We start from the raw sequence: 10610 nt of genomic DNA, 5'->3' as shown, positions 1-10610 counted from the left end.
CCAAACACCACAAGTTCTCACTCATAGGTGGGAACTGAACAATGAAAACACTTGGACACAGGGCGGGGAACATCACACACTAGGGCCTGTCATGGGGTGTGGGGGAGCAGGGAGGGATAGCATTAAGAGAAATACCTAATGTAAATGATGAGTTAATGGGTGCTGCACACCAACATGGCACATGTATACATATGTAACAAACCTGCACGTTGTGCACATGTACCCTAGTACTTAAAGTATAATTTAAAAAATAAGTAAATAAAAGTATTTACATTATTCTTGTCTTCTACTATGCTCACTATAATACAAAGTTCATACTTTCTGTATCCACTGTGGTTATTACAATTGGGTTCTTAAATAAATACAAATATGCATATATACATAGAGAGATGCATATATGAACATATGTGTATAAAGAAATAATTCTTTTTCTAAAGACCACAGGCCCAGCAGGGTGCAGTGCCTCACACCTGTAATCCCAGCACTTTGGGAGGCCGAGGCAGGTGGATCATGTGAGGTCAGGTGTTCAAAACCAGCCTGACCGACATGGTGAAACCCCATCTCTACTAAAAATACAAAAATTAGCTGGGTGTGGTGACGGGTGCCTGTAATCCCAGCTACTTAGGAGGCTGAGGCAGGAGAATCGCTTGAACCTGGGAGGCGGAGGTTGCAGTGAGGTGAGATCACACCACTTACACTCCAACCTGGGTGACAAAGCTAGACTCAGTCTCAACAACAACAACAAAACAAAACAAGCAAACAAACCACTGGCCCATATTCACTCCCTTAAGAATTATAAGTTTTTTTAAAAAGCTGTTGAAAGCAGTCAATATAAATCAAGTGAATTCACCTTGGCTTCTGAGAAAGAAAATAATAGTATAATTCTCTGTACTAATTTTAAAATTATTAAGAGAAAGATATTCAATATACAAAACAAACATGGGTAATTCAGTTCTTTACTATAGCATCTAGGGAGAATATTGTTGCTCCCCACCAAAAAAATAGAATAGGAGATGGGGGAAAACATATAAATCAGAAGAGGGGATAACTTAAAAAATGCCACACACAATCACAATGTAAGAAACAAAGTAACATGCAGATCTCCATGAAATCATTTGCTTCTTTCAATCATTGTTTTCAAAATACAGTCTATTTGAAACCAATGGTTCTCAAATTTTAGCAGGCCTCAGAAACACCAGACAGGCTTATTAAAACACAAAGTGAACCCCACTCAAGTTTCTCATTCAGTAGATATGGGGTGGCACTCAACAGTTTTCATTTCTAATAAGCTTCCAAGTGACCAGACTTTGAGAACCACTAACTAGACCTTTCTATAGTCCATCAACTTCTCTTGGCATTCACATAATCTTTAGAGTTGGGAAAAATTGGTGGCTAAGAATGGCTCCAGTTTACATTTCTCAAACTAGTCAAATTTCTAAGAATTATTTTTTCCTATTCTTTATGTGTTATATACATGATCCTCTTAGTAGTATTACTGTGTTGTTCATGATATGCAGATTAGGTTTTTTGTTTTTTTGTTTTTTTTTTGAGACAGAGTCTTGCTCTGCCACCCAGGCTGGAGTGCAGTGGCACGATTTTGGCTCACTGCAACCTCCGTCTCCCAGGTTCAAGCAGTTCTCCTGCCTCAGCCTCCCAAGTAGCTGGGATTACAGGCATTGGCCACCAGGCCTGGCTAATTTTTGTATTTTTAGTAGAGACAGGGTTTCACCATGTTGGCCAGGCTGGTCTCAAACTCGTGACCTCAGGCAATCCGCCCACCTTGGCCTCCCAAAGTGCTGAGATTACAGGCTTGAGCCACCATGCCTGGCCTGCAGATTGGATTTTTGAAGTGACTTCCTGATTGCAGTTTCTTTTAGTAGGGAACTAAGTGAAGAAGTGGAATTAAGCTACTTCTGGAAGTAAGGTTTGTTAAATAAACTATACCTAAATGTGCACAGTATTTTTAATTCATTCAAATACATACCATATGCAAGCATCATGCTAGAAACTAAAAAGGTAAACATGGACAAAAACATATAGGGTCTCTGCCCTCATGCAACTTAAGAATCTACTAAGAGAGACAGATAATCACCTGAAAATATAATTAAAGTGATAAACTCTCCCAATAAAAGGTGCATGACAGTTGTAATATAAAAGTGTATGACAAACTGATTTCCAGTGTAGCTAAACCTGTGTAATAAGTAATTCAGTAACTCTTACAGCTGTCTGCCTTAGTTTCACTTTTTTTTTTTTTTTTTTTTTGAGACAGCCTCGTTCTGTCACCCAGGCTGGAGTATAGTGGCGTGATCTCAGCTCACTGCAACCTCCACCTCCCAGGTAGCTAAACCTGTGGTGGAAATGTAAAATTTCCAATTTCAGACAAAATGTCTGAAAGTGGCTCTGCATATCTCAGCATGTGTTATTACCAGCTATTCTAATAGGTGTTCAATGGTATCTTGTTATAATTTGCACTTCCCTATTAATAATGATGCTGAACATCTTTTCATGTGCTTATTATCTGTACAGCTTCTTTGATGAAGTGTCTGTTCAAGTCTTTTGCCCATTTTCTAATTGGATTATTTCTTCCTAATAAATTTTGCAAGTTCTTTATATATTCTGGACATAAGTTTTCTGTTGAACATGTGCTTGCAAATATTTTCCGTTTATGGCTTGCCTTTTCATCCTCTTTAACAGGGTCTTCTACAAAATGTTTTTATTTTTTACAAAATTCAATGTTTTTTTAAGGAATTTTAATGCCAGTTGGCCTAACCCTTGCTCAAGATTTCCTGTTTGCTTCTAAGTTTCAGTTTTATATGTTACAGTAAGAACATGACCCATTTTGAGTTAATTTTTGTTTTAGAGACAAGGTTTTGCTCTCTTGCCTAGGCGGGAGTGCAGTGGTGTGATGACAGCTCACCACAGCCTCAAACTCCTGGTCTCAAGTGATCCTTCTGCCTCAGCCTCCCAAGTAGCTGGGACTGAAAGTACATGCCACCATGCTCAGCTAATTTCTTAAAATTTTAGAGAGAGGTTCTCACTATGTTGCCCACCCTAGTTTCAAACTCTTGGCCTCAAGCTGTTCTCCCACCTCAGCCTGCCAACTAGCTGAAATTATAGGCACGAGCCCCCCATGCCTAGGGAGTAAAAGTTTTTATAAGGTAGAAGGTTGAGGTTGAGGTTTTTCTTTCTTAGCTATGACTATTCAATTGTTCCAACACCCTTTGTTCGAAATTCAATTTTTCTAACACAATTCATCTATTGAATTGCTTATGTACCTTTGTCAGACGTTAGTTTTTCATACTTGTGTAGGTCTATTTCTGTACTCTATTCTGCGTCTATCACTGAGCTATGTGTCTATCACTACCAAAACCACACAATCAGTACCAATATCACAGTCCCGATTACTGTACTTATGTGTCTTAATATCTGGTAGTGTGATTCCTCCAACTACATTGTTTTCAAATTGCTTAGGATATTCTAGTTCCTTTGCTTTTTAATGTATTTTAGAATGAGCTTTATTCCGATTCTTTAGAATCAGAATCATTCAACAAAGAATCCTTCTGGGATTTTTATAGGACTTGTATTAAACCCATAAATCAACTTGGGGGCAACTTAGTTAATATATTGTCTTCCAATCCATATAAATGGTTATGTTTCAGACTCTTTAAGTCTAGACATTTACAATCTATTATCTCTCTGAAGACTGCTACCTGGAAGATTCATCTGCATAAAACCTTGGTTTCCACAACCCCTTATCATATCCCAGACACCAGTATCTATCAATAATAACCGACTCCCAATCAGAAAATCTTTGGATTTGTCTATGACCTGGAAGTCCCCACTTCCAGTTGTCCCACTCTCCTAAGCTAAATCAATGTACATGTTACCTGTATTGATTGATGTCTTACGTCTCTCTAGAATGTATAAAGCCAAGTTGTAACCCAATCACCTTAGGCACATGTTCTCAGGATCTCTTGAGGGCTGTGTCACAGCCCATTAGTCACTCATATTTGGCTCAAAATAAATCTCTTCAATATTTTAGAGTTTGACTCTTCATCAAGGTCCTGTAGGTGTTTTGTTGGATTTATACTTAGTATTACATTTTGAAATTGTAAATGGTATTAGCATATAGAAATACAATTTGATTTTTGTGTGGTTGATCTTGTATTCTGTGATCTTACTAAATTCACTAGTTCTTGTAAGTTCTTGGAGATTTCTTAGAACTTTGTATGTAGAAAATAATGTTAAATGCAAATATAAAGTTAATTTTTTCATTTCCAATCTCTGTGCCTTTTATCCCCTTTTCTTATATTATTGCACTGGATATCAAGTACTACACTGAATAGGAGTGGTGAGTGTGCATATCCTTATCTTGTTCCTAATCTTAAGAGGAACGCATTTAGTCTTTCATCATATATTATTTTGTAGATGCTGAATGTTTGTGGAAGAAGGAAGTATAACAACTTCATGGACTTTAAGTGTACCTGAATTCAAAGTGTGGGAAAGTGGAAGGACATCATTTACAATTAAAGAAATCTAAATTCTCTCCTTGATTCTGATACTATATAGACCCTCAAAGGCCATGTTAAGAGCCAATAAATGGAAAACAGCAAGAGTTTTAACGATGGGGGCAGAGGGGGAGGGAGCAAAATGGCATTATATTATATTCTAAATATTTTGAAATCGTTCTCATATTTACTGTAAATGAAATAACATCTTAAATAATTTAAACACAATTTAAATTAAAATATAATTTACCTTTTTATTTAATTAAAAATTGTTTTACAAATCAGAACATCTGAATTATAATCCCTGATCTGCTAACAAGCTATGATCCTTGCATATAACTGGTTCTCATTTTTGTCACTCTAAAATTAGAACATCACAAGATAGCCAGATGCAGCAGAGGATACCAGAAAAAATGCTGACTTGGAAACCCCTGACATCCTGGGTCTGGTCCATGCTCTGTAACACAAGAGGTTAATTTATCTGAACCTCAGATATCCTCATCTTAAAATGAAGTACAACAAAATCATCTCCAAAGTCCTGTCTAAAATCCTATGGTTCTATGAAATGAATTAAAATGAAGTTACTTTGATGATATGTGGGCTACAGTATATAAGACAAAAAGATTAATTGAAATATTTGTCAATAAAAAGTTGAAGTATATGCTTGCAGCATACTAAAATACTGGTCTTCCCTTTATATTTTTCTCTACATCCTCTTGTGCCCCCAAATCAGTATTATTTTTATGGTTAAGCTGTGTAAATATGTCCCCTTTTCACCTCTGTTGGCTTAGAATGCTAGGAGCTGAGCTGCACTAAGACATTACTTCTTTCGTTATATGGAATTATCTCCTTGCTTTAAATGATTAGATTCTGAAATAGCATCCCTGACATGTCTAAAATAAGAGTTTTACACTTAAAAAATGTTGAAGAGTAGATAAGCAGATATATTAGTCAGAAACATACATGGCTAAAGTAACAGGAAACCAAACAGTGTCTTAAACAATCTGGAGTTTATTTTTTCTCATTTAATAATTGGGGAGTTTGGCAATTGCTCATCTTGATTTGGGTGTTCAACAATGCCATATCAGGGACCCAGGATCCCCTTAATCCTCCTTCAGTTCTATCTCTGAAATGTAACTTTCATTCTCACATTTGCTGTTTCATGGTTGTTTGATGGCAGCTGCACCTTTAGGCATGCTGTTGGCCAGAAAGAGGAGAAAGAGGCAATGACTGTTACCACACAAAGCTCTGATTTTTTAATTTGAAAGGAAAGCCCTTCTCAGTAGGGTTCTGTTCATTTCATTCAATTTCTCAATTGCAGTAGTCACATATCAAGTACTCAATATCACATATGGTTAGTAGCTACCACAATAGAGAGACAGAATGGATGGTTGATTTCCTTCACTGCAAAAAGTTCTGCCTCGTACTAATCAGACTATACAGAATTAAACTACCACTTCTGTTTCAGATCAATGAAGGTGCAACCTCTGGAGTTGGGGTAAGGTCCTAATCTCTTTGAGGAAGAGGGATCCTTGCCACTATCAGATCAAACTAAGGTACTGCTAAAGAAGAAATAAAGGTAATAGCTGTAGGCAACTGCCTGCTGTAATGGGATTATCAGTACATTTAAGTTGAAGTTTATAAATAACTAAGGATTGGCAATGTGCTTAACAAATATAAAATCTTGGAAAGAAGTTATTAAAATTTTGAAAAAATAAAGTGATACTGGCCAGGCTCAGTGGCTCATGCCTGTAATCCCAGCATTTCGGGAGGCTGAGGCGGGTAGATCACTTGAGGCCAGGAGTTTCAGACCAGCCTGGCCAACATGGTGAAACCCCATCTCTACTAAAAATACAAAATTAGCCAGGCATGGTGGCACATGCCTGTAGTCCCAGCTACTCAGAGGCTGAGGCACAAGAATCGCTTGAACCCGGGAGGAGGTTGCAGTGAGCTGCGATCACGTCACTGCACTCCAGCCTGGGTGACAGAACGAGACTGTCTCAAAAAAAAAAAAAAAAAAGTGAAACTAAGGCAGACAGCTATAAGAGGCACTGAATTACTTATTACACAAATATAATTGCTAGAGTAAACACTAATCCAGTGACTGACGGGGAGGAGGTTTGAAGGGGAAAAGGTAGTGAAACAACGTGCAGGCACTATTTTCTTTACAGAAAATGTAAATTTCAAATGGTTCATCATGTTGAAAATGCAGTTACTAATTTCATGTGTACAAAGACGGGATCTTTGTGGTAATAAAGATTAGTAGAGAATTACCTTCAGATGAGAAGAGTTCTTTCACAGAATATATTAATCAGCTGCCTATTACTCGTGGCAGAATAAAACGAAAATGACTGTAATATGAAAGATTAGACTAGATATGGAGAATAATTTATTAGCAGAACTATTCAAAAGGTTAAAAGAAGCTGATATTGACAATACTTTTCTTTCTAAACACTTCTAGATTGTCAATTCCTCCACAATCCCCACTTGTCCAAAGCAGCAATGACAAGTCTGTAGATGCCTCTGTATATTTTTAGTAAAAATAAATTTAAATATATTTATTATAAACAAATACCATAAATATTTGCGGTGAACAGTTGCTATTTTAAAAACTGATTTGTGTCTAAATGAAATTTAACTTTCAAGTCTCTTCTATTTTGTTGAAACATGTCAAATACTGTTGAAGGTAGCATAATGGTTGTTTATTATGAAAAGAGAAAAATAAAAAATTCTAACTAAGGTAATGATAGAATAGGAAAATTTTAACATTTTTGTTTCTAAGGATAGTTTTAATTTTCTTATTTTTTTCAAAATTAAAAATAACTACAACCCCTTTAATCCCTACTCTTTATGATTCTTTAATATTCTTTCATGTAATTTACTATTAAAGGATTCAATAAATATAACTTGCATAAAAGTTAAAGTGTCGTAACACATATTTATCTTAAGGCATTTTATATGTAAAAATCTCAATTATGTCCTATATCAAAACAAAAATTTTACAAAGAAATATTGCTGAACTTTGGAGAATGACATATTTTAAGCAAGATTCATCAGAAGGATATTACAGCAGATAAAACAATTCAAATAGCCCACTGGAATGTACAGCAAAATCCAATTCGACAATATAAACAAAGTCAAAATAATCTGCTTCGGTCAGCTACATATGCTGTGACTTTGCTATCACCAGTAAGGAGTTAACTAGAAACTGAGTTCTTAAACAATATATCCACTGTGAGTATAACAAAATGAAGTTAGAATCTTCATATGCAAGTTTAATAAATCATCATGGTTTATTTAACAAGGTTATACTACATTAGAGTTTTATATATATACATGTATATGTGATATGAAGAGACTGATGTACAATCAATAAGTCTTAAATCTCTCTTCCATGGATTTCCCCCATCTCCCCACTTAGCAGTAAAAGGCATTTTTAGGTTTATATAAACACATTCTTTACAACTGCCTTCTTAACAGAAAATTACTGTAGTATATAAATAGCACTGAGCATTTAGTAAATAAGTTACAGGCCAATAAGTTCAATTGTGCAGTTGTGAAATCTAATGTCAAAGAGTTTTTGAAACCTTAAGACTGGGTGATCTGCAATGTTTCCAACATGTCTTCGACAGCCTTAAGAGAATATTTGGTTTCCTTCTTACTTCGACCTGCAAACTAATTAAAAAAAAAAAAAAAAAGCTCAATTAGGCTCAATTTCAGTGGCAGGTTAAAAATGACAATCTTCACACTGTTAATGAAACTTAACATTGACTATTTTATCACTAGTAGGAAATCAAATATATTCTTTGCTTTTTCAATAAGAATAAAATTTGAGTATTAAGGACATTTTCCTTTAAGGTCTTACCTTCAGCTGAAGTGTACAGAGAGTTCACTGCACACTTGGCCAGTTTAAGTGTTTACATAATATAATAACCCATAAAATCATGTATTTGAAACTATCTTATTCAGACCAAAATAATGAAATAAAAAGTATAATTTTAAAATGCAATTTAGCTTATATTTATGTAGTGTAGCAGTGTGAACCACTTCCACTTGTCTGATGTCTAAACAGATTTTTACAATTTCAAACAAAGGTACAATACAAATACAAGTTATTTCACTAAACATTTTAAAGTTGCAAGTACTCTCTAAAATTATTTAAAGTAGCTCATAATTTTTTTTAAGTTTCCAGATTTATTAGTTAACTAAATGATATGGTTCTGCAAAGAGCTGTCAAGTAAAAACCTATGCTACACATTAAAACAATGTAAACATGTTTTAAAATATGCATTTCTACTTTATTAATTGTAATTTATTTACATTATAAAACTAATTGGGATTGGATTTTACTATGAAAACAAAATAAATACATCAATATATACACAAAATATACCCTATATTTGTGTATTTAAAAGCAAATTCATGGCATATTAAATTCAATATCATACACATAACCGCTGGAGGGAAACACTGTTGAATACCACATGCTGATTTCAAAATGAGTTTGTTAACTGGACTGACAATTCCCATCATTTATCAGTCTGATTTAAAACAAAAGATTTACTAGATAAGTAAGTGTTCCTTGATGGAGATGGGAGAAAGTTTATTGTGTGTGTATGTGTGTGTGTGTGTATATATATATACATATATATATTATATATATGTATATATATTAATTATATATTATGTATATATTTTATATATATATGTTACCTATATATATTATATATATGTATATATATTAATTATATATTATGTATATATTTTATATATATATATGTTACCCATTTTCTCCCTGGTTAAATATGATTAAAATACTTGGTATTAGCAACATCTAGTGTTTTCAAGTTAACATCAAACCACTCAATACATTTTCAAGTGAATGATCATTTCTTCAAGTAACAATGCTGTCTTAAGCACTTAGTACTTGATTTATGATGTGTTTCTTGTCTTCTGTAATTAACTTAATTTGGCAAACTTCTCATGACCTGTTCAGAAAGATTAAGTGATCAAACACAGGTAACATCATAGAAGTAACAAGCTTCAGGAATTGGTAACCTGTCTCTGACCCCTCTGGCTACAGCTTAACATTATGATTCCCTCACTTCCTACACTCTAAACCATTAGATTAGTTTCTGTAGCTGAATCCTGATTTGAAAAAGTAAATAAAGGATGTTTCTAGGGGAAATGCCAGAGGAAAAAGAAAAAAAGCTTCTCATAAAAATCAAGATCACCTTGCCTTTCAAAAGGCATCACGAATTTAAGGAATTCATATGTTAAATATGGTAACAGCAATATCACATTTAAAATTTTGTCTTTTTATAATTTCCCCTGAGGACTAAAGGCTGTGAGGCATGCTTATTACTTCTGTTATCCAGTTAATAAATTCACTTACACAAGGATTTACCAGAAACAGAAAGCTTTTTCATTTACCACCATTTATGAAACATAAATAGGAACGGTCCTAATCAGATACTTAAAGGTCTAATTCTGAGAAAAAGTTTTATGGGTTGGGGGAGGGGTACAGAATAGGACATCACATAGTAACATTACCACGTAACATTTATTCTAATTGCTTTTAAATAGCAAAGTAAAAATAAAAAAAATTATGTAGAGCTAAAACCATAACATGTATTTTTAAATACAGTATTTTTCTTGGTTTATACTTAAACATAAAAATAATACAGTGTGATCTTTTAAAATTAGCTAATTTTAAAGAGTCAACTGAGATGGTGTCAACATTACTCACAACCAGTGCAATTTAGAATAAACCAAATAAATTTACTTGTGTCAGAACAAATAAAAGAAAGTTGGAAATACAAATCTATCACTTCAAATTTAATCTGACATGCAATTATTCTGTCTATTCCAGAATTGTATGGCAATTTAACTGATTAAGTCAGAATCATTTTTTCCCTCAAATCATGATTTAATTTTCTGTTTCCCAAAAGGATAGTAACAGAATCACTGCTGCAATCATAAATATCATATAAATCACTAGCACAGATTTACCAGTGCAACAAAGAAGGATTTATCTGGAAAATCATTGTGAGTAGGTTCACATTAAAGTTTTTCATGTGCATTAATCAAATGTGTCTGCTT

General features: G+C 34.2%; 1 protein-coding gene across 4 annotated transcripts in view; it reads right to left on the bottom strand.

Annotated features, from left to right (window-relative positions):
- Positions 1-5498: 5498 nt before the first annotated feature.
- EMC2 (ER membrane protein complex subunit 2) overlaps positions 5499-10610 on the bottom strand; it is a 45573-nt gene continuing 40461 nt past the window's right edge. For all 4 annotated transcript variants that reach the window (NR_138033.2, NM_001329495.2, NM_001329493.2 and 1 more), the window contains one exon: positions 5499-8183. Coding sequence is in view for 3 of the 4 variants with exons in the window: in NM_001329495.2 (NP_001316424.1) it covers positions 8097-8183 (87 nt within the window). In the remaining variant the exon portion in view is untranslated. The remainder of the gene's footprint in view (positions 8184-10610) is intronic.

This window comes from Homo sapiens, chromosome 8 (genome assembly GCF_000001405.40).
Source record: "Homo sapiens chromosome 8, GRCh38.p14 Primary Assembly".
Lineage (NCBI taxonomy): Eukaryota > Metazoa > Chordata > Mammalia > Primates > Hominidae > Homo > Homo sapiens.
The sequence above is the reverse complement of the archived record's forward strand: the minus strand, read 5'-3'. Positions and strand labels throughout refer to the sequence as shown.